The sequence below is a fragment of the Homo sapiens genome, chromosome 2 (genome assembly GCF_000001405.40).
Source record: "Homo sapiens chromosome 2, GRCh38.p14 Primary Assembly".
Classification (NCBI taxonomy): Eukaryota; Metazoa; Chordata; class Mammalia; order Primates; family Hominidae; genus Homo; species Homo sapiens.
This window is the reverse complement of record NC_000002.12, coordinates 50,458,070-50,483,850: the sequence shown is the minus strand read 5'-3', so window position 1 is coordinate 50,483,850 and position 25,781 is coordinate 50,458,070. Positions and strand designations below refer to the sequence as shown.

Below are 25,781 nucleotides of genomic sequence, written 5' to 3'. Positions count from 1 at the left end.
TGCTACTTGTTCCCTATTTATCAGTCTCTTTTAATTTCCAGAACAGTCATTTCTAAACTCCTCTATCTATTCTACTCCTGTCATTGAGAAGGGTTTTAGTAAAAATAGGAGAGAGTGTGGTGCATCAGAAAAGAATTAGCCTGGGAGTCAAACGCTGAAGTGCTGGCATTATTATTCTTGTATTGCTTGTATTACCCTGGGCAGGTAACTAAACTTTTCAGAAGGGTAGTTTGTTCATCTGTCAGGTAGGGATAATAATAACCACCCTACCTATTGTGAAGGGTTGCAACAAGGATCAAATGGAGTAAGAGATGTGAAAGTGTTACGAGAAAGGGGCCCTGAACCGGAACCCAAGAGAGGGTTCTTGAACCTTGTGCAAGAAAGAACTTGGGGCAAGTCCATAGAGTAAAGTGAAGGCAAGTTTATTAGAGAAGTAAAGAAACAAACAAATGCCTACTTTATAGGCAGAACAGCGTCATGGACTGCTGAACTGAGTATACTTATAGTTTTTTCTTTATTATATGCTAAACAAGGGGTGGATTATTCATGAGTTTTCCAGAAAATGAGTGGGAAATTCCCAGAACTGAGGGTTCCTCCCCTTTTTAAGCCATATAGGGTAACTTTCTGATCCTGACGTTGACATGGCATTTGTAAACTGTCATGGCACTGGTGGGAGTGTCTTTTAGCAAGCTAATAAATTATAATTAGCATATAGTGAGCAGTGAGCATGACCAGAGGTGACTTTCATTGCCATCTTGGTTTTGGTGGCCAGATTCCTTTTTTTTTTTTTTTTTTTTTTTGACACGGAGTCTCTCCCTGTCGCCCAGGCTGGAGTGCATGGGCGCGATCTTGGCTCACTGCAACCACTGCCTCCCGGGTTCAAGCGATTCTCCTGCCTCAGCCTCCCAAATAGCTGGGACTACAGACGCATGCCACCACGCACAGCTAATTTTTGTATTTTTAGTAGAGTTGGGGTTTCTTCCCGCCACAGCCTCCCAAAGTGCTGGGATTATAGGCCTGAGCCACCGCGCCTGTTGGCCAGATTCTTTATTGCATTCTGTTTTATCAGCAAGGTCTTTGTGACCTGTATCTTATGTGGACCTCCTATCTCATATGTTACTAAGAACATCTAACCTTTCGGGAATGCAGCCCAGCCCAGTAGGTCTCAGTCTTATTTTACCCAGCCCCTATTCAAGATGGAGTCACTCTGGTTCAAAAGCTTCTGAAAAAAGCACCTTTCAAACTGCACTGTTTATGCATGTGTAAGGTACAGCAGTATATGTGAGGTTGAAAACCCCTGCAAATCCATATGCAGTCCCAGAGAGCATTACACAGTAAGTAAAAAAAATGAAACATGGAATGGTGACAGAATTGTCTGCTGTAAGGAATGTCACAGGTATTTAAACTGGCTGTCATTTGGATGAGACAAAAGGAAAAAACTGAAACTGTTTGTACCCAATTTTTACCTAAAGGTAAATTTAAAAATTTAAAGCCATTAGATGAAGTTAGCTTGGCATGGATTTATATCCCTGAACTCGCACCCCATCTGCCACACTGTTACTGGCATAGAGTGGGTTTAAAAGAAGATGGATTACTCTACACGCTCCCATAGCAATTTCACTTTATTATTTCCCATTTAGCATGCCCACCAGGTTTCCTCACAGTCTGTTGGCCAAACATACAAACAAAATCTGTCTTCCTGTTGTAAGTTTCAGAATCATACTTTAAAAAAATCTTTTTGGGGGCAGTTTTGTTTCAAAATTTAAATAAGAAACAAAAGTTCGGCCGGGCGCGGTGGCTCACGCCTGTAATCCCAGCACTTTGGGAGGCCGAGGCGGGCGGATCACGAGGTCAGGAGATCGAGACCATCCCGGCTAAAACGGTGAAACCCCGTCTCTACTAAAAATACAAAAAAAAATTAGCCGGGCGTAGTGGCGGGCGCCTGTAGTCCCAGCTACTTGGGAGGCTGAGGCAGGAGAATAGCGTGAACCCGGGAGGCGGAGCTTGCAGTGAGCCGAGATCCCGCCACTGCACTCCAGCCTGGGCGACAGAGCGAGACTCCGTCTCAAAAAAAAAAAAAAAAAAAAAAAGAAACAAAAGTTCAGAATATTGAAAGAATTATATGTTCTGTTGATATGGATAATAACAATATTAACTCCCCAAAACTCACTACAGGAAAACGTTAAGGTCTAAACTCTTATCTTCTTGGGGTTGCCCCTCCCCAACTTGTCCCACGTAAGTGCTGGTTTGTACTAGATTGGGCCATGGATACATACAAGTGTCTGATTTATCTCTTTGTGGGAGACAATTGAAAAGTAACTGCTGTATCTAAAAATCAAATGTTGACTTTTGGTAAAAAACATTTTGATAAAATTTGATTTAAAAAGTTTTGAACATAAGAATTCTACTTATGTATCAGAATTTGAATACCTAATATTTATAATTATGGAAGAAAATTGACTTTGCCTTTATGAGATTACTCCATTATTATGCAGATGAGTCTCTTATTGTACCAGTTGTCTCAGGAATTTGTTAGCTTGCTTGGATTTTTGCTACCATTTATTACCATTACTTTTATCAACTAGCCACAACTCTCCAAAATTTCCTGTATGTTGTAGTAGTGAAGCTGTACATATTGGCCACTTGCCACTTAGAGTGTACAGGGTGTACATGTGCGTGTCAGTCTGGATTAACGGACAATTAACATAGTTTCAGAAGACCTGGGCTTGCAATAAGACCCTGCCCTGTTCTGGTATTGTAGCCCTAAACCATAGTTTCTTCATCTGTAACATGTATCCCTGATAACCTTTACTCCTCTTGTAGCTCAACAGGCAAAAACCAGATATAACAATATATGTGCAAATGCTTGGTCAAGTTAAGGATACTTAACTCATGTCAGTTATTATTATAATGATGAAGTCAGAGCTGTTTTTTCTGGTTTTGACCATAGTAATGCCTGACACTGATTACCAAAGATTCAAAGCAGTAAGGAAGACCTCTCTCACTCAGGACTCTGTACATTTCAGTTCAGTTGTCTCGGTGATTTTTGTGAAACTCAAAGTCATTTTAGCTAAAGCAATATACTGTTAGATGTGTAAGCCTGCTGTAGCATCAGGAACACCTGTGGCTGACAAGGAGCCAAGAAATAGAAGCTACAAACTAGAAGGACTCTAACCTTAGGAGTCTTTGAGTGGTGGCCCAAAGGCTAGAAGGAGTGAAACATCTGCAAACCAAAAGGAAGTGCAGATGAGGATTAACAAACTCACTAGAGCAGAGCACTAAGGGTCCACACAGTTAGCTTCTCTGTGTTCTACAGACACACACAGCAAATAAATGCATGTCTTTCTTTGTGATAATAACAGAGCAGATGAGTCTGGAGAGACAGTGTGAAGTGCTCATGGTGTCCATATGCCTATGGAGGATGCATGAATCAGGTCATCTTTGTATATGGAGCAGCATAGAGCCAGAATGAAACAGAAGGCCAGGATAGGCTCAAATTTAATTTCCTCCAAAGATTTTTGTACATATTTTAATTGGAGAAGACGATTCATGCATGGGTTCTCATTACTACGCACACTGATACTCCAAACTGTTTCTACACCTCTATCTTCATCTCTGTATCTCTTTCTACAAATAAATTCAGTATGTGTCAGTTAAAACTGGTCATGTATTACTCTATCAAGTTACACTATCAGAGTGGGAAAAAATATGCCATTGAATTCCCTAAATTTTCTTAATGAGCTGGATGGCTTCACCTTTGTGTTTAAGAAAGGGATCAGGCCGGGCATGGTGGCTTACGCCTGTAATCCCAGCACTTTGGGAGGCCAAGGCGGGCGGATATCTGAGGTCAGGAGTTTGAGACTAGCCTGGCCAACGCGGTGAAACCCAATCTCTACTAAAAATACAGAAGTTAGCCGGGTGTAATGGCATAGACCTGTAATCCCAGCTACTCTGGAGGCTGAGGCAGGAGAATTGCTTGAACCCAGGAGGCGGAGGTTGCAGTGAGCCAAGATTGTGCCACTGCACTCCAGCCTGGGCAACGGAGCAAGACTCCATCTCAAAAAAAAAAAAAAAAAAAAAAAAGAAAAAGAAATGGATTAGTAGATGAAAAATTTTCCACAATTAACTTAATTCATTATTGCTCAGGTAAAAAGAGCCAGGGACAAATATGAGTGCTGACATAAAACCTTCCCTGTGTCCTTATTGTTTCAATGATTATTTATTGAATGTGAACTACTAATTCATCCATTCATTCAGTGAGTCAACAACTAATTATCAAATGCTTACTAAGTGAAAATGAGAATATAAACGTGTTTAGGATTATTCCTTCAAATAATGTATAAACTAATGGTTACATAAGGCTTACACATACAAAGAACTGAAAAAGATAAAATCATTTTCAGAAAAGGGGTTCAATTTTTTATGAGGATTCCAAGATATTTATCTGTGGCTAAGGAAACAGGTACACATTTCCAAGGTGGAGTTTGAGTTGAGTCCCCCAAGTTGAGTAGGATTTTGAAGAACAACATCAGAAGAGGAAAGGCATTCATGCTGGAAGTATTGTATACCACAAGCAAGGATGGAGCAGTGGGAAAATGCAGAGTTGGGGAAAGGCTGCCAACAAAGTTTGACTAAAGGTCGGACTGTGGGGCGAAGATAGATATTATTTCAATCTTCTACCTGGCAAAAGTTATTTTTGAAAGATAGTTCAAAGTTTAGCAAAAGTTTTTGAAGAGAAGTAATTCAAAATCTTGATCACTGCTGAGCCTTAGACTTAATTTAGATGATACAGAAAGGTATTGAAGATATCAGAACACAGTGGAGTGACTGAGACAGTGTTGATGAGGAGGCTGAATGGAGACAGTGACACCAGGTAACAGGTTAGTACTTAAAAGGTGTGTACAAGAAGAAAAATAGATAAGAACTGGAAATGGGAATGAAAACGAAACAACAAATGTCAGAAATATTGGCAAAGTTGAGTCATTCACCCCTTGGCAGTAGTTGATTGTAAGGTGTGAGATATAAAATAAAGTTAAAAATGATACTGAATTTCCAATCTGGAGAGCAGGTAGACTAGATATGTGGCTGTTACACAACATGAAAGTTTAGAAAAAGTAATTTCACAGCAAGGGAGATGATGAAGGTTTGATTTTAGGCTGGACCTAGAAATTCAGGACACGCCTAAAGATAATAATTTATGGTTATTTCCTACAGAAGCAAAAATAGATTGTTGTAAGGCTAAACCTTTTATGTACCAAGGGAGACTAAGATGTATAGAAGTTAAAAAACAATAAATCAAGCTGGTGACCACTTAACATCTCTTCAGCGGAGAGTTTCTAAAATTAATCTTTTAAAAAATGGAGATTTATTACAGACACAGATCTTGTGTCTCAGAGCAAAATGTCTGCTTGAATTGCCCATTTGATTTCCATTTTGAATATTTTACAAGCCTTGAACTTAGAAATGATCTTGTATAGTTTTCATTGTTCATTTCTGTGTGGTTTCTTATAGAAGTTTATATTTGTTTACTTGTAAGCTCAAATAGATTAGAGCAGTATTCACTTCCCATGCTTTTTCTTTTAGTAGTTTAATATTATTTATTTAAGCAGTCACACTTAGGCTTTCTACTAAGAAAGCAAACAAATGTTTGTTTATCAGATATTATAGGTCATTTTCTTTTATCTAACAGGGAACACCTGTTTTAGAGGTTTGGATTTGTCACCTAAAGACAAGCTCTCTCAGTGTATCTAGATAAGGTCTGACCTACAGATATTCCTTTATGTGTGTGCAATACAATATTAAAATTAAAGATAATGGTACAAATTTGGGGACAGAGGTTGATTGTTCCCCGAAAGGCACCCTTCCCATAGAATGTGCTCAGAAACTACCCAAGCTTGATTGCACTACTTTTACCATCCAATCACAATAAGAATTAGGAGAAAAAGCTGCACCCAAATTTTCTCTCCAAGGTCCAATCTTCTTAAAATGAAGTGTCTAGAATTGCACTTTCTCTAGTCCAGCTATAGGAAAGTAAGCTAATTTGTGTGACTTCACTTTTTCTTTTTCCCCAAATGCCATTTATAAAAGTTTGTGAGAGCTTCCTTCATATTTCCTGGAGTTTTAGCTATTCAAATCTATAAGGCAATTGTCCTTTTTCTGTATGCTTTTTAAAAAAATTAAAATGAAAGTGAGATATTTAAGAGGTTCAAAAAAGTACATGTGAATAAACAGGAAAGCTGAGTCAAAGAACTAATTATACCTTGACACTTGCATTCTGCTACTGTAAGGCAGAGCTTGGTCTTTACTCTAATTGCCTTATGCTTCCTATTTTAAGTGAAGAGGAAATCTCTACCGCGTCATTTGTCTGCTTTTGGTTGGTGGCTCCCAAGGAAGGCCTCTAAGCTCCAACCTCCGTTCCCTAAGGCCCAGGTTCATATCACTGGATTCCTCTAGGATGTTCCTACTCAAATTCCACATACATGACGTTAAATGCAATTTTATTTCTCCTCCGGATTATTACTGCTTCAAATTCCCTAGTTTCCTAGCCTGCTTTGCTTTGATCCTTGGATTTCTCATTATCTTTAATTATTTATTTTTTTCAGCCAGCAGTCATAAGTTCTATGGTGGCCTTTCCTTTGACTTTACTTATACAATATTATTTACATAACTTAATAAATAACTGAAAACTCCTCTCTTCCAGTCAAGCCTTTTATTCTCTTTCCTAAATGCCATATAAATTTTGTCTCCATGGTACAATTGTGCTGTTCCCTGTGTCTGGCATCCACATTTATATCATTACAATAGTAATGTCTCCCATACTTTCTTCTTGTCTCAACTTTTGTATGCTCCCCCACTTTGCAACCACAGTCCACAAAAACCTGTTATTTCTCTGATTTTCTAAGGCATGTTTAGTCTGGAACTGACAACCTGGCCCTTGGGCTTCATAGAGTTTTTTTGTCCTCTTAATCGCTTTGTGTCAAATTAGAAGATATTTGTCAAGCAACTTTCCTATTTATATTACCAGATTCAATGCCACCGAATTTCAAATTAAGTCAAAGGAGCTCTGTGAGCTACTTTTAGAATAGTGTAAGGCACACTTCAGCACACAAATGACTGTCAACTAAATCCAATAGAAAAAATATCATGGAGAATTTATAAAATTGACATGTTGTCACTCCAGTTGTGCTAGAAACAGGAGATAAACTATACTTCTCCTTCTTCTGCATTTCTCAGTGGAATCAGCATAGATTGAGGTACATCATAGATGTGTCATCCTTACAGATATACTGACAGCCATACCAGTATCAATGACGGGCTAAGTCCATGCTGTATACTAGATGCTTTATGTGCATACTTTGTAATCCTTATGGCCTTGCAAGGTAGGCATTATCAACCCCATTTCATAGATGAAGAATCTGACTCTTAAAGAAGTTATGTAACCTAACTTGCCTACACTGAGACAGCCAGTAGGTGGCAGAGCCAGGGTTTGTAGACAGAGAAAACCAAAATGCCTGTGCCCTATTCCCTAGTCATTACTGCTCAATTACTGCGGAATGGATACTCATGATATCACCCCAGTTCATTCACAGATAACACTCTTGAGAGGAACATAGTGGCTGTGTATATACAGTACTAAAAATAAGGGTATTATTGAGATTATTTTAAGAAACTCACCCCTTAGACTTTTGAGTTTTTGGTATTGTACATGTTCTCTACTTCTTTTGCTGAAAGTGTCCCAATTCAACCTTTGCCTTATCAATTGCCTACATGGTCCTTAAAACATATGAATTAAAAATCAGCCACTCATTTTGAAGAAGAGGTAACAGGCTAGCTTCATATCTACAGGAAAGTTGGCTTTTACTGGTTGCCCATGCAGGCTCTTGTTCATACACAGAGCCATTAAGTATATCCTCCTTCACATGCACAGGGACTCACCTGCAGGACCCATTAGTGCTAATGGGTCATTTTTTTTTTTTAAACCCGTCACTTCAAGGATCAAAAAGAGAACCTGCATCTTTGATAAAGTGATAATAGTACACAGGGCTCAGACCACTAAAGGAGTTTCTTTGTTCTCTTCATGTGGCAACCCACCAAGGGACTTTAGATCACTATTTGCTATATCAAAGAGTTTATAAACAGTACTAAGTGGTGGTGCTAAGTACAGCTTCAGTAATGAAAATGAGAATGAGTCCCCTATTTATAAAGCCAACCTCGTCTACCTTGCTATGTTTGAAGGTTGTATCCCACACTGCTTGAACTGATATTTTCTGCTCTTTAGTAACTCAAGGGAAAGATTACTAGTTCTCTTCAATAAGCTTTACAATGTTGTCAGGCAAGTAAGTTTTTTAATAGAAAAACATAGGGATTGTGGTAGGAAGTGGGAAAAGGAAGTAAGTTGGTGCATTTTAGAATTAGCACTCTCCTCATGTGTTGCCTTACTGTTTCCTCTTTTTTTATTCTTTTCTACCGTGGCCTCAATCCATAAGGTGGCTGACAATATTTATTGAGGGCCAACCGTGCTTAGAGCCCAGTACCGGGCACTCTGGGAAACACAGTCTCTCTCCTTCAGGAGGTTACAGTCAGACAGAGGAAGATTGATTAATAAATATATAGTATTCTATACATAATTTCTATTACTGAGTTCTACATCTGAAAAGCCTAAAGCTGTGCCAAGAATTCTTCATTCAATTCCCCACTCTACTACATTCATTAGTCCTGGAGGAGAGCTGAAATTTTCTAACAAATTTTGTTCAACAAATGAAAGGAGTAGGTAGTATTTCCTTTCATTGCTATTTGTCATGTCAAATTATAAATCTCAGCCCACAATCTCTGATGTACAAGAAATGTAACTTTTCTATTTTTCTATAACTCACCTTGGTTTCTATTTTGAGCTTTGATTCTTTGAGTTAGTGAAGGTACAATCTCAGGCAATTTTAGTTCCCTTCTTTTTCTTGTGTCATATCTAAATAACTCAATGGGGTGAGTTCTACTGTACTCATTTTTTTTTTTTTGGTAGGGGGGCGGGCGGGTAAAGAGAGGTGGCATGGAAGCTTGTTTCAAATATTCTAGAGTCACAACTCAGGTGCTCACTGAGGTGCTACCCAGCATCTTCATTCTTGTGTGCATGACCTCTTTAGGTTGGACTTTTTTTTTTTTTTTTTTTTTTTGCTATTTCTGTGCCAGTCTGGAAATTGTTCTATAGCTCCCATGGCACAGAGGAGTACGGAACGTTGTGTGAGACTGTCTAAGGTCTCAGGTTATCTAAGTCCACCATGCAGCCATTTCTTTTCAGAGCTCTCACTGCTCCCTCTTAGTTCTCCTGAGGAAATGCACAGAGGTTTGCATTACTCCTTGAAACTTACCTGAGGTTTTGAGATTCACCAGAGCTCAGTCCTTAAATTAGAAATCAGCACCCTCTTTGACATTTGCCAATGACTGTACTTGCACAACTAGGTTCTTCCAACTTTATCTCCTGCTTGACTGAAAGAGGAGTAGGAAAGCTTTACTTTTCTTATGTAAACTCCAATGTATTCTATTTCATTCCTCGAAGAGTCTAGGATTTTTAGACTTAAATACAGAAAGCTAATTTTGTATCTTTGATTTCTGATTCATATCCTTTCTCTGAGGCAACTAAAACACAATGGCCTGAAATTTAAGTGAGAGCAAAAACAAAGGACAGAATGGAAATATGGAAGAAAAATCAAATAATTCTTCAAAATAGTATCCCCTCTCTGACCAAAACCATGCTGTCTTTTAATATTAAGAATGATGGTTAATAGTCAGTAGACTTTGCTTTATGTAAAAGGGGGGAAGTAAATACATCCAGTACTTTCAATGCAAATTATATAGTTATAAAACTTAAGTTTTAGTTAGGTCAAGGACCTAAGTTCTCAGTTTTTAACGTTGAATGACTTTGAGTATGCCACATGATTCCTCTATTTCAATTTATTCATGAGTACAGTTCAAGAGTGTTATATCTGTGGTTTGATTTTACCCTACATACAAATTAATAGGTTAGCTTATTACTGTTTAATGGGTGCCTGCAGAAGACAGAATATTTCTGGATGGGAGACCAAGGAATTTGTTACTCACAGCTCAACAGTCTGTGTATCAGTTCTCCTTGTTCCCAAGTCTCGTGAAGACAACACAGAAGGACCCAGGTGAACAGTAAGATTGCAGGATTTTTGTGTTACACTGGGGAAAATGTGCCAAGTGACATCAAGTTGAATAGAATGGTTAACATGAGAAAGAAAGTTCAAATGAAAATGAAAGTTGAAGAAGTAGATAAAAAGAGTATGTTACAGAACTTGTAGACTGGAGCTATAGCAGCATATTACTGAATTTTGAGCTCACCTTCCTTATGTTCCACATTGATTAAATGTTTACTAAAGTCACTTAGTTATGTTTATTGAATATTATCCAGATATGGTAAATAATCTGAAATAGAAAAAGAAACAGAATCCAACATAGATTGTAATCTCTTTTTTTTTTTAAGTAATAGTCCATAAAGTTGGGGAATCTCAAACCTAGAGAGAAAAAGTTAAACAAAGCTAAGCAATGTCTTCCATTAGAAACTGCAATAAAATTAGAAAAATAAGTTGAAAATTTGTTAACGGATTTCAGAGCAGCCTAAAAATTGAAAGTAGTGTAATTTTACCTAAAAACAGAAATACCTCAAGAAGGATGCAATATCCACTTATGTACAGACTATTATGTGAATTATCGAACAAGAGAGGTGCAAGCAAGGATAGTGGGCTTCAGCCTAGTATAGAAGTGACTTTAGATACAAGAAGAAATTTACTGAACTTCTGATGAAATGGAAGACACAGAGATCTCTAAGCAGAAGGTGAATTTAATAATAATGCCTGTTGACTGTGTGTCCACTTTATACTTTTGCTCTTGTGGATGCTTGATATATTTCATCTCATTTAATCATCATGAAACCCTCTGGCATAGGTTTTTATTGTTCCCATTTTAGAAACAATGATACTAATAATCAGAGAAACTTATATATATATATACACACACACACACACACACACACACACACACACAAGGCTGTAGGGCTTGCAAATAACCAGGCCTGGATTTCCACGCAAGGGTATGCATCTCTATAGCTAGCCCACATTCCTTCAATTTGACCACATAATATGGAATTACTTTAGTTGTCTATGGAAATAGCTTTTAGAAATGTCTCCTAGTGCCAGTATATTATTCAAACGTCTCTATTGTTTAGCACTTTGGGGAAAACAGCTAGTCATAAATTAATTTTTTATTAACTTAATGAAAAATAAACCTCCCTGTTTTTTCTCCATCCTACTGTGTGTTTAAAGTCAATGACATGGTACTTTTGTAACAAAGACTTTGATCTTCTTGCAGGTGACTTATATATAGGAGGAGTAGCTAAAGAAACATACAAATCCTTACCAAAACTTGTACATGCCAAAGAAGGCTTTCAAGGCTGCCTGGCATCAGTTGATTTAAATGGACGGCTTCCGGACCTCATCTCCGATGCTCTTTTCTGCAACGGACAGATCGAGAGAGGATGTGAAGGTATTAGATTTTTGTCATCATGCTCTAAATAATTCTAATTCCACCTGTCTAACTGAGAGTGAATCTCACTGTCCAGCAAAATTCTGATAACTGGTCAAATACCCAATTTGGGCTTAGACATCCTTATTCAAGTTTTTAATTTTTTATCTCATAAACCTTAAATTTTCTGTACTGTTTGCAAGCCTACATTAATGCCCAATGTAAAATGGGAGGTATATCTATGGATCTTGGTTTTTTTGCCTGTTTTTGCTTTTGTTTTTGTTTTTGTTTTTGTTTTTGAGCTATGTAGTACATTTGATTAGTTTGTTAATCAGTTCTACGATGCTTGCTTTATAGCATTAAACAAATACTGCTCCACCGAGTATTAATCAACTTGTGCCCATTTTTTAAAAATCTACATTCTTTTTGTTTTAATTTTAAGTCCAGGGGGTACATGTGCAAGTTTGTTATGTAGGTCAACTTGTGTCATAGGGGTTTTTTGTACAGATGATTTTGCCACTCAAGTATTAAGCCTAGTACGCATTAGTTATTTTTCCTGATCCTCTCCATCCTCACACTCTCCACCCTCCAGTAGGCCCCAGTGTCTGTTGATCCCCTCTATGTGTTCATGTGTTCTCTTCATTTAGCTCTCATTTATAGGTGAGAACAGGCAGTATTTGGTTTTCTGTTCCTGCATTAGTTTGTGAAGGATAGTGAGAGAAGTCACTATGTCAGAAAGACATCTGCAAACATATATTTATCACTGCGCAATGCATAATTACAGATATATGGAATCTACCTAAGTGCCCAAAAGCCAATGAGTGGATAAAGAAAATGTGGTATGTATATTCCACAGAATACTACTTAGCCATAGAAAGAACAAAATAATGTCTTTTGTAGCAACTTGGATGGAACTGGAGGCCAATATTCTAAGTGAAGTGACTCAGGAATGGAAAACCAAATGCTTCATGTTACTCACTTATAAGTGGGAGCTGCACTATGGGTGCACAAAAGCATACAGCATGGTATAAGGGACATTGGAGGCTCACAAGCTGGAATCGTGGGAAGGGGATTGAATGATGAAAAAACACCTATTGGGTACAACGTACAAGACTTGAGTGACAGGTTCACTGAAATGTTAGACTTCACGACTATATAGTTCATCCATGTAACCGAAAACCACTTGTACACCTAAAGCTACTGAAATTAAAAAAAAAGTAAAATAAAAATAAGTAAATCTATATCCAATAGCATATAACAAAAGAAAAAAGTTCAGATACCCCATTCTCAAAGCACTATTCAGTTGGTGTGTACCTGGCAGAAACACTGTATCCTGTATATTTTCAGTCTGTTTTAGCAAAAACAAGTTTCTTGTATCACCCCAGGCTAATATTCCTATATCAGAAATGCACTGAAGTATCTTCTTTTCTTTTGTGCTCTCTATCAGACCAAGATCTGTAGGAGTACTTTTTGATTGCCACTTTCATTTTAGATAATTTTCACTTCAACACCTCAGATTATTTGAGCAAATTCTTCCTCCATAAATGTAATTTAATCACATTATCATGAATTTTGTGGCTCTGCATGTGTTGCTGCCTCTCCTGTAATACTGAACACAGTTTGGGCCATTTTGAAAATTTTAGATTTATGAGGATGAGGATGTTTTATATGAGAGAAGAAGAAAGAAATTTGAATTCCTGTCCCCCAGGTGATTATGAATCATTTATTCTCAGCCAAAATAATGTCGTTATATTTAGCAATTACTTAAGTACATGGAAATTTTATATTTGAAAATACATTTTTTTCCTCTGTGCAGCATGTGTTTCCATGAAATGTTAGGTGAAATTTAAACTGTATTTCAGTAATACTAGAGGATAAGGTTAGTAATGGAAGGTGTTGTTGAGTTCATTTTTAATGTTATTAGTATATTTCTTTATTTGATATTTTGGCATAATGCCTCTGTAAAACATAAGGAAACTATGTTTTTTTCCCTTTCAGTTAATTTTAATTAAGAGAGACAAAATTGTTAAGGGGATCAATTCCCATTAGTGGATGAACACAAGAATGTGATACAACATAATAATTCTTGGAGGTGATCTCATTAGTGAGAATGTGTACCTTTATTTTATTTTATTTTTTAAAGAAAGGTATTACAATCCCTTATGGAACATATTTGTTAAAAATAGGCCTTTCTACAAGTTGTTTGGTATGTGACTTCTCACCTACAAGAAATGGTGAGAGCAGGCAGATATACCCAATGAGATAGAAAATAAGAGGCAAACACACAGGACCCCCACCACTGGTATGTAATGTGAGTGAGTGGGCGGAAGCAAGTAGATTAAGAGGAGCAGGATATACTAACAAAGGGCATTTGCAGTAATGATGTTTGGTGTTGTTTACCCACATAATCTAGTAAGGAATTTGGTTAAGATGATTAGTTACACATTAAACTATTATTTGAACATTTGAACCCAGTCACTTATGGCATTGGTTCTTTCCTTATCTAGAATGCTTTATATATCTGAGCTTTTATAATTTTCACACCCTGACACCCCTTTTTTTCTTTACTCTTAGAATATTACTTTCTGTCCTGATTCTTTCATTCCAACATCAAGGTGAACAACTTTTAATTTACTATTATTTCTGACCTGTATAGTTTCTAGGAATAATCTTAGATTTACCTGTTACAGGTACAGTTGATGAGATTCACACATTTTTTAGGATTAGTGTTTTAACTGTAGATACCTAATAAATTCTCTTTCTAAAGATTGTTATGTCATGGAATTTGAGTCCAAACCACACTGGAATCACTTAGGCTCCATATTGATAGGACTACTTAGCATATGTTTGGTATAACCTAATAATATCTTGTGAGGAGTTTCCATTGTTCCTATCCAATACACCCACACACCTCTAAGCCTCTTGCATACAAAAAACTTTTGATCTTTCCTAAATAATCACTTGTTGCCTTTTATTTCTAATTTATTTCAGGGAGTAATGGTTCATTTTATTTATAAAATTCACCTCAGCTAGAGTACGGATTTTAACCCGTCGAAGTCTACTTAGATTATTGTCTCCTGAATGTTAGCCTATATCAGAATCACTTACAGAATCATTAAAACCCAAATCACTAGATTACAACCCCCAGGGTTTCTAATTCAATAGATCTGAGATAGAGCCCTAGAATTTCCATTTCTAACAAGTTCCCAAGTGATGCTGATGCTGTTATACTGGAGACCATACTTTGGATGGCTTTTTTCTGTTTATGTAGCAGAAAATGGGCACTGGAATTCAACCAATAAGCAGGCCCACTAAAGTCAAGATAATATCTCTACATAAAATCAGAGTGAAATTTTAATAGATGCTCTTTTTGTACAACTGTAACATTCAGCTCTAGGCTCCATTATATCTACAGGAATAATTTTCTGTTTAATCGTGACAGCTATCATTGATTAAACACTGGTGGGAATATGTTTACCTATACTATCTCATTAAATCATCAAGACTCTATACAATAGGTATCATTGCCTTTTTTTAATGAGTAAATTGAACCTCAGAAAAGTAAGGTGACATTCCTAAAGTCCCACACCTAGTAAGTGGATGACACAAGTTTCAAACTCAAGTTTACCTTACTTGAAAGCAGAGACACCTAACCTCTTTTGTGTATCATTTCTTTTGTTTCTGGAAATTGTAGTTTTATCTTCATTTTTCTTTCCCTTTTAGACATATTATTAATTTAAATAACTTAATACAAATGTCCTTGTAGCTTTTTCCTAATTTTATTCAGTGATAAAATAAAGATAATATTACATAACTAAAAAGAAAAATAAATTTAAGGCTCTCTCTTGTGTAATACCTGTCAATGTTTAAGTATTGTCTAGAAGGTGAGTACTTTGAAAAATGTGTCTTGTCAGGCAAAGGCATGCATTGTCTTGTAATTCCTGAATATAAAGACTATTGTGATAATGAAAATAAAATACAGCACGTCTGTATGCTTACATAGAAGCTTGGCAGGTACTCTGAGTTGCTGCTCTACAATATGGGCAGATTATTTTTCTAAGATTGTAGTTTTACTATTTTTAGAGTTTAGCATTGTTTCTCAATTGCATTTCTGATAATTTTTGAAAAAACAAAAACCAAAATCTGGATCTTCATTAGTTCTTGCTTCTGACCTTTTCTTCTGCTGTGCAGGTCAGAGAGCAAATAGCTATTTGATAAAATGGCATCTCCCCAAACTGGGCTTGTATTACTCCCTGTTTATTTGCTTAACACTGGAAGAAATATGCTAAGGAATATTGCTTTGAGAGATTTTATTTTTAAAAATATGCTAATTATTTTTGATCTCTAATGCCATGGGATAAGGATCAGTAGACCACTTCCCTCTCACAGTTTGGAACAAAAATTAAAACTAAGCAATTAAGTGGTTCTTATTTCTTTACTACAAAGAACTAAGTTGAGTTTAGTGGTTCTTAGTTCTTTGTTAGTTCTTAGTTCTTTGTTAGTTCTTAGTTCTTTATTACAAATAACTAAGTTGAAAAAAACAACTGTTACTCTCTTCAGGTTTCCTGGATTTGGGAGGTCTTCTTATTATATTACTACTTATATAAACTACTATTTTTGTTTTAATTATTGTTACAATTATTGCTGTTATTATTATTATTATTACAGAATTAAGATTTACAATATCATGGTTTCTGAATTTGTGAATTCTCAGAGGCTAGGCTAAATTCAATAACATTCAATAAAGAGTATCTTTACTAAAAATTTATAATACAAATGTGATTGTAAGGTACATGTTTAGAAGCCATTTTCAAAATCATCTATTTATACAAAATATAATTACAGAAAATTCTAATTTATTCACTAAAGCAGGCACCTCAGAGGCTCTCTCTTTTACATTAATAGCATCTAATTAGCTGTTGTCTTTTTTTCTATTTTTATAAAACCTATATGTTTATTTACTAGAAAATATATTTAGTTTATACTCTAAAGCTATTTAGGTAGACTGTATTCCCTTTTCACCCTCCTCTAAGATAGGTTCTTATTAGTGAGGTTTTACTGTAACAGTTATTCCACAGGGAAGTTTATAAGAGTTGAAAATACTTGTGAAAGTGTAGAAAATACAGACGTAACTCTGAAATTCATAAGTGGCATATACCCAATCTGGTAAGTTCAAGGATAAACGCTGCACATGGAAATTTTATTCAGAAAATTCCTTTATGATGGATTATATTGCAGTTTATTTCTTCCATCCTTCCTACTTCTTTCATCCACTCTAAATGATATACAGTATCATTTATGCAGCATTTGGTTGGTGTCACTCTAAAGTCCAGCTGTTGTCAGTGAATGGCTGGCATTACGGTTTGAAGCCTTAATTGCAACAGAAAGATAAAGGATCTAGAGGGAAAAACATAGAAAGGGATAATTGCTTTGCTACTGATCATAGTCTACACTGTATCTGCACATGATGAATGGTGCTGCATGTTCCAAATAAGCAACACAGTCACTTTGGTAATGCATTCATATCTATCCAAGAGAGGAAACATACAAAGGCCCTTTTAATTTTCCTTCATTACATGTCATTGGCTCAATTAACCATTATATATATACATATGTACAATTAAATTCTAATAAATTTCTGCTTTCTCATTTTTGGCTTCTCTTAAGATTTATGGCTGTTAGTATTAATTTGTTTGCTCTACATAGCATTTTTCTCCCTCTTTACAGCAGCATGCCTTTTGAATCTGAACATTCTTCTGTGTTTGCCCCATTTCAGTATTGCTTACTAACATTTAATATATTTTGCTTTTTTTTTTATTTTGCTGACAAAGTTGCATTGATGAAAGCTGACTTGCAAGGTAGATAGCCCTGTGTGTATATAACAAGACTGAAACCCCATAATACACAGTGGAAACCCTAAAATAACATATTTTACATTTCTGCAGTAACTGTTATTTGGGTTCAGATTTCATTCTTTTCCTTTCTTGAACGTTGTGCAAGAAGCCTAACTTTGTAGCATAGTTTGTATAAAGGCTTTCAGTCTTGAATATGTTTGTATAGTGATTGCCTTTAGTGCTTTGATCATGCTTTTTTTAGTTCTTTGTTTTTCAGTGTTCTAGTTATGATTCTTTAGAAATAGACTAGCATTCTTTTTACTTGTATGTTTATTGAGGGCATGCCATTTATATGGAGTTTTTAATTTTATGTTTAATTGCATGAAATTGTTAAAAGCATGTGAATTGATACTTGCCAACATACCTATTCAAAACACCCAGCAATCATAACTTTATCGTTTGGAAACCTCTAGGGCATTTTTGCATAACTCTCTTCAGTTATTTTGCCAATCTTATCTCAATTTCATGAAGTTATAATCTCCATTTCTCATTATGTCTCTATTCATTGGTCAGAATGTTAAGGAGATCCATTCATTTTCTAAAATCAAAATAGTGATAAAGAATTATTGAAGTTGGAATGAGATTACCTGCTACAATAATCATACTAGAAGCTATGTGCTTGTTTTTGCTATTTGTTGGTTTAGTTTATGATTATAATGTATTTTATCCTATACTTGAAACTTAAGAAAACCTTCATATTACAGCCTCTCAGTTCCTAATTCAGGTGTGTGAACTAGAACTTTAAAAACTAGTTTGGACATATCATCTGTGGTGTTGGCAACTACTACATGTGATCTAGCTCATGTATAAAATGCTTTTGGATTCTTTTAAAGAACCCAAGTTTCCTTTGGATTGTTTTGCAGGGCCCAGCACAACCTGCCAAGAGGACTCATGTTCCAATCAAGGTGTGTGCTTGCAACAATGGGATGGCTTCAGCTGTGACTGTAGTATGACTTCCTTCAGTGGACCACTCTGCAATGACCGTAAGTACCTCTCTGAGTATGGACTGATACTCATCGTTGCTTCCAGTTACTGTTTGATATCTAAAGTCTAACACTGAAAGTCCTTATATTAACTCTGAGTCAGTCGAACTGTCATAACCCATAGAAGCAGTTGTTTCTACGGAAAGGACAGTTTTGAAATACTAATTGTTAAAGTGGCTAAATCCTGTGATGATGGTGATTCTTTGGTTTTTGGGTTTATTGTTATTTTTTAATTACTAATGATCACCTTGTTCAAAAGAATGTTTTTCATTTCCAATATATGACAATTCTCCCTTGGTTTTTGAAAGAACCTTCATATTGTTTTATATTAAATAATACTTAATTTCATATGATTATGTCTCGAGGGCTGTAATTTTACTGAATGGTTACAGGTCTCATTTTTCTCTCTGCGTACATCTCTTTAAGCCCATTGCTGCCTTTTACTTTTAAAAAAATATGTTCAAACATTGTCCCTTCAGCCATTCTCCCTTGTATCTTAGCAACTTATGTTTTTCCCCTTAAAATCCTTTAACTAAGTATTACAATATAAGCATGAAAATAAAACACATGATTCACATTATATCATGGCATATCTGCTAGTGCCTAATTTATATCACAGCAGTGAGGGTTTGAAGATGGAATTAACTGATCTATAAGATGAAGTTCTGTGTCTTAATGTTCTAATAGGTCCTGATTTACAGCACATCATCAAAATGATAAAAGAATTTCATACAAAACATTGCATTCTGCTATATTAAGAGAATATTCCTGACAAATTGACCTGGTTGTAAAATAGAATACGTGCTATATGTTGTCAGTGCTACAACACTTAAGCTAAACCTCCAGGATGATGGAATAGAAGATGCAACGGTTGAAGGTTTAGATTTTGTAGCAGAGGCTGAATTTGAATGTGGATTTAAAGAAAGAGTAGAGCTTGTTCATTTTGACCTTTGTCTATTTGAGACTGTATTCATGTCAACAGATATGTGCATCGCAATGTAGAAGATGGGGTAAAGCTACAGTAATCCTCTGAACTGAGTTGTTGCAGCCTAGCAATAAAGTACAATTTACCTGCTGTCTTTAGGTTTCCTTTCCAAAATATTGACTATTGGAAAAACGCACAACCAATACAGAGTTAAAACATATGTGGAAGAGGCCTTTAACAACCATGCCACTGTAGATGGAGAAATATTTGTTCTTCATTTTACTAGTTTCCTCTCCCATAGAATTACAGTAAACCTGAAGCAATAAACATGTATTCAAACTATCATACATTTGCGAACACTCTGCAAGCCAAATCACACTTAAAACACAATAACGCCATTTTGAGTTATATAAACAACTTTACATAAAGTCTTAATAAATATATATACATATAGCAGCCTTACATGTGCTTTTCATAAGGATATGTATATGTGTGTATAGGTAAATTACTTCCTGCATTTGTTCCTGCCTCACAGAAAATGGCGTAAATTTATTTTCAAGGACAATCAGAAGACTGAATACTTGTTAAGATTTTATTATCGCAAATTTTTCATCCTGAATACAATCCTGACAGATGTATGACTACATGTGGTAGTTGAGAGGGATTTTTTTGGTGTGAAAATATTTTTCATGTTGCTAAAGAACTTTTTCTGCCAAACTATGCTTAATGTAGTTTCCATGTTTTACATACAGTTGCCATTTGGTTGTGGCAGACTGTGTATCCTCATATACCAGTTAAATATAAAGAATATAATTTTGTGTATGTATTTGTTAGACTTTCCCTAAAGAAACACCAAGATACAACCATAAGTATCATGCTGTCTTCGAATGATTTTTACAGAAAACTATTTTAATGCTGCTCTTGGGTGATAGTACTGGTGATGACAATGATAAGGCTATTCGTTATTTTCTTGTAAATAGGTAAATGTCATTCAATAAATGTGTCTCCTGATATGCCTCTTGCACAAATCAGCATTAAAATTACTTTAGAGAGCTCTCAGAATACATGCATTTTGATTAAATCATTACCTGTTAGTGGGTTTTCTGAAAATGTGAAATGGTTCCTTGGCTTATACGTTGGAGTTTCAGTGGTGAGAATACATAGGTACAAATCAATATTCAAAAGCAAATCTTATTTTGTATCAATTATAATTGGTAGAAGATATAGTAGCAATTGTTACTTTGAAGACGTGGAATTAATAAGCAATAGAAATAGCATGCAACACTTTCCTCACTTTTTAAATTGATCAAAATAAATCTTGTCTGTACATCTCACTGTTTTTCTCTAAGATGCACAAATAGAATTAGTGTGATTCCTGGGGTTTTAACAAACTCCTTTTCTGTATAGAAGCTGATTTTTCTTTTAAAATAAAGCCATTTAAGGCATTTCACTTCTTAATGAAATTTTCATCTCTAGTTTATTTTTTCATAAATTCTGTGATTGCAGCCTCCAATTACATAGAAAACAAAAAAGAAAATAGAAACAAAACTTTTTAATGGGGAAACGAACATGCCACATTACAAATGAGACCTTCCCTCCCCCAAAATAGAATTTCTAAATGTCATCTCGCTGATAAGGTTTATAGAGTGGGTTAGGGTAACTAGAAAAAATGTATTTATATTAGCCTGGAGATATAATTAACAATGGGAAGATGGGAATACTTTGTAGCTTGTAAATGTAATCTTGGATAAATCATACTAATTAATTGAACTGAAAGGAATCTTTCAAAAAGAAGTGCTATTCAAAATGATGCCAAAGGCTATTTTTAATGAAATGTTTGTTAAACCCTTTCTTCCCCGGAAAATTGCCATCTAAGTGACCTACTCACTGACAAAAACAATTGTTTTGTGCATGTGTGTATGTGGATATGCAGGTGTGTGTACAGGGTAATGTCATATACTCACCTCTTCAAGTTTTCTTCCATATCAATACCAAATTTTAGATCCTCTGTATAATTTTTCTGGTATATCATGTAATTTCTTAGTTATCTCCCATTTCTTATTCCTCTTTCCTCTGATCCATTCTGTGCCTCTCTGCCAGTTTTGTTCTTTCTTTCTATTCTTCCTAGTTTAAATGTCATCAGTCTCTCCTAATTCTCCTAACCAGAGGCAATATTTTTTTTCTCCTCTGGCTTCCTATAGAATTTTGTTTATACTATTTAATTTGCCATCACTTTTTCCTTATAGTTACCTATGTTTAGTCTTACCTCCCTATAAGACTCTATACTTCTACTAGGAATAACATTCTTCTCTGTTTTCTTGGTTTATAAGCCCAGTGTTTTTATAGCATGCTGCATGTAATTGTAATAACTCACTAAAATCAAAGCGTGCTAGACACATGCATCTTGCAGAAGAATTTCAAATATATCCTCAGTGTCCAATACTACTCTCCAAGTTAGTCAATGTGGAATTCGTGGACCTCAATGGTCTGACCCCAGCCTTCATGTTCATACTTATCTGTTGCAGAACCTTGTCCATATGGCATATTACTGCCAATTTACTTACAGCTTTCTGAACAACATTACACTTTCCAATTTCCTCACCATTGCTTATGCTAATTTCCCCACCTGGAAAATGCATTCATTCCACCTGGAATGCATTCTTTCACTATGTCTGCTTGAAGAAATATAATTTCCTTTTCAATCTCTACTAAAACTCTTTTGTCCCATGGAAACTTCCTTTGTTTTCTGAGCTTGACATTATTTTTCCCTCTTCTGAAATTGTAGGAAACAGTGTGCTGGACTACATTGTATGGTGTAGCTGTTTATGAAATTTCTCTTGGATGTAACCATTTGCTGAGCACTTACTATGTGCCAGTTCTGTGCTAAAAGTTTACATTCATTGTAAATTTTATATATCACCTATTAATACTTACACATTCGTCCACCATCATCACACCAGTGTGCTACACAATAATCCTTTTCTCCTTTTACCCAGTGGTCCGGAATAGAATGTTACCATATTAAGCTAACTTAATGTCAGGTTGGAGAAGATGAACATGGCTATGACCGTATGCAAAATAGCGAACATAATAACATTGTCACATTACATTAGTATAGAAATGTTGTATGCCAAATTACAGTTCAGCTTCAACAGTGTCTGTTACCATAAGGGAAGAATATAACATAGTGCTGTTATTTTGGTGCTACAGCTTAGGAGGGTGTGGGTGCTGTTTTATTAAAAGGCTGTTTTCAGAATCCTAAACTTTGCCAAGAGAAAATCTTTCTGATAGGAATTTATTGTATCTTTCATATGAGAGTTAGAAACATTCGCTGAAATGAGGATAAAATACACTTCCCTGTGACTTTTTACCATGACATTTAAAAATATCTTCAGCTTTGTTTCTCAGCTTCTTTTGTTGTTTGAAAGAGAATCCAATATCCAGTGTCTGAGCATCAATATATGAACTAATGGAAGTGAATCATAACATATATTTTTAAAAACCTGGATCTGAGTAATGTTACTTCTCTCCCATTTAGAGTTGCCAGTAGTATTAAGCTGTGAGCTGATTTGCTGCTGGTGTCACTTAGGGCTGAATAAAATTTAGCAAGTAGCTATGTCCACAACCAGATACTCTTTGTGAGTATGATGAATCTTATTAACCTTGAATTTTTTCTAAGTGGAAGCCCTTAAGCTGTTTAAAGCAATTCATAAGCAATCTTTACTGAAAACACCTTAAAAAAACTATGGGGAAACAGGGTCAGACCTGCCTCAGGTGAATGATAAAGGATTAAAATATTTTTCCTACTAAGTAAGAAAATGTAATGAAGGACAGAAAATAAAGCATAATGTATGACAGAGAAATGTAATATGTCATAGAAGTGCTATCTGCTACTATTTTACGTAAACTTATCTTTGTTCTTCTTTTTAGAATTGACATCATAAAAGTAGATGCATAAATGGAAGCATTGGTCTTTTTATATTATTGTTGGGCAGCTGAATAATAGTTTCAGTCTGTATCTATATGAGAAAATTTAGGTGGGGAGAAAAACAACAAAAAAGGGAATAGAGTAATGCTGTATTTGAATTATCTATGTTAGTCCCTTGCACTGTTGAGCAGCTTGATGATTCAACTCTCAGCAGCCTTTTAGTCTGTGAATTCTGCCACCTTGGCCCCTAGAAATCAAAAAGGAAGCAAACCCAGTCAGAATGTTTTCTTCACCTATGGATTTTCCTGCTAGTATGCTCTAATTTTTCTGGCTTCATTAAAACTCTGTCTGTGTAGACCTTAATTTGGCTCAAATGTTAGCACTCTTCATCATCGATCTTATAGGTAAATATGGAGGTGGCTTTCAATGTTGGTCTTACTGTGGTAACACTATCCTATCTCACCAGAGCCCAGCTAACCAGAGCTGCATTCAGAGGAGGTTTTGCTAGTCACCTTGACTAACTATTCTCAAGGAAAGACAATGGTTTTAGTTATCACTAAATGCTATTCAAATAGATAGCCTCATCTGAATGTTTTTTTTCCATGCGAATGCATTATATATCCGTGTTTATCATGTTACTTCCATCTGTAGCAACACAACAGGTGCAGAATCAAGGCAGGATGGGGATACTGCCTTAATCAGAGGTGCTAACTGTTGACACTTGGAGCCATTAAGTTTAATTTTACTTTTTATATAGATTTTACTTCTCTAAAAATGATGTACCAAAAGCCCGTGTGAACAAACTGAAGATAAATCACAGTGAATTATCAGAACCTTGCACAATACCAAATAAGTACAAATAATAAATGGCTTAGTATGACAGATTGAATAAAGAAAATGTGGTACATATACACCATAGAATACCATGCAAACATAAAAAGAAATGAGATAATGTCTTTTGTGGGATAATGGATGGAGCTGGAGGCTATTTTCCTTAGCAAATGAATGCAGGAACAGAAAACCAAATACCACATGTTCCCATTTGTAAGTGGGAGCTAAACTACGTGAACTCATGAACGCAAAGAAGGGAGCAGCAGACACCACAGTCTACTTGAGGGTGGAGTGGGAAGAGGGAGAGGAGCAGAAAAAATAATTATTGGCTACTAGGCTTAATACCTGGGTGATGAAGTGATCTGTACAACAAACCCATGTGACACAAGTTTACCTATGTAACAAACTTTCACATGTACCTCTGGATCTAAAATAAAAGTAAAAAAATACTTAGTATCATTTTATTAATCAGGAAGATATTTGAAGAGAGCAAACGGTTAAATACTTCTCCCACTTTATGAAATCAAATTATCAGGAGTGTTTTTAAAGTATAGGATTACACATAATTACCTTATAATTTATGAAATCTTTTATTTTAAAATAATATAATTATGATTGGATTTGGAAAGAAGTGTTAGATCAGGCCTAGGTTGTTTCTATACTTTGTTGCTGTGGATATGCCTAGCTAGTGCATAAAAAGAACTACAAAAAATTTATGTAGATTACATCAACATATTTCAGTGCTAATATCATAATTAATATGTATTATATGCATGCCATTTAAATTTTATAAGCTTTACCTTTTCTCCAAAAATATCTGATTACTTTAAATGTAAAAAGAAGAATACTGAAGCATAAATAGATTTTTTAAAATTTTATGCCGGGCACAGTGACTCATGCCTGTAATCCCAGCACTTTGGGAAGCTGAGGCAGATGGATCACAAGATTAGGAGTTCGAGACCATCCTGGCCAATATGGTGAAACACCATCTCTACTAAAAATACAAAAAAATTAGCTGGGCCTGGTGGTACATGCCTGTAATTCCAGCTACTCAGGAGGCTGAGGTAGCAGAATCACTTGAACCCGAGAGGAGGAGGTTGCAGTGAGCCAAGATTGTGCCATTGCACTCCAGCCTGGGCAACAAAAGTGAAACTCCATCTCAAAAAAAAAAAAAATTATGAATACATGATAGTTGTACATATTTAGGGGGTACATGTGGTATTTTAATATAAGCACACAATGTGTAATGATCAAATCTGGGTAATTGGGTATCCATCATTTAAAATATTTATCACTTATTTTTGTTGGGAACATTCCAATTCCACTCTTCTAGCTATTTTGAAATATGCAATAAAATATTGTTAACTGTATTTGCCATATTGTGTTATCAAACACTACTCTTATTTCTTCTACTTATCTTTATCTTTGTATACATCAACCAACCCCTCTTCATCCTCTCCACCTTTCTACCCTTTATGGCCTCTGGTTACCACCTATTCTACTCTATTCACTGTCTCCAAGAGGTCAATTTTACTAGCTCGCACATATGAGTGAGAACATGCGATATTTGTCTTTCTGAGCCTGGCTTGTTTCACTTAACATAATGACCTCCAGTTCAACTCGTATTGGAATATATATACCATTTTTTTCTTTATCCGTTTATCCACAGATTCTTAGGTTGATTTCTT

At 35.6% G+C, this 25,781-nt stretch overlaps 1 protein-coding gene across 15 annotated transcripts in view; it reads left to right on the top strand.

Annotated features, from left to right (window-relative positions):
- Positions 1-25,781, top strand: part of NRXN1 (neurexin 1) — a 1,113,630-nt gene that overhangs the window by 548,282 nt on the left and 539,567 nt on the right. For all 15 annotated transcript variants that reach the window (NM_001330096.2, NM_001330087.2, NM_001330083.2 and 12 more), the window contains 2 exons: positions 11,380-11,553; positions 18,290-18,409. In NM_001330096.2, coding sequence (NP_001317025.1) covers positions 11,380-11,553; positions 18,290-18,409 — 294 coding nt within the window. The remainder of the gene's footprint in view (positions 1-11,379; positions 11,554-18,289; positions 18,410-25,781) is intronic.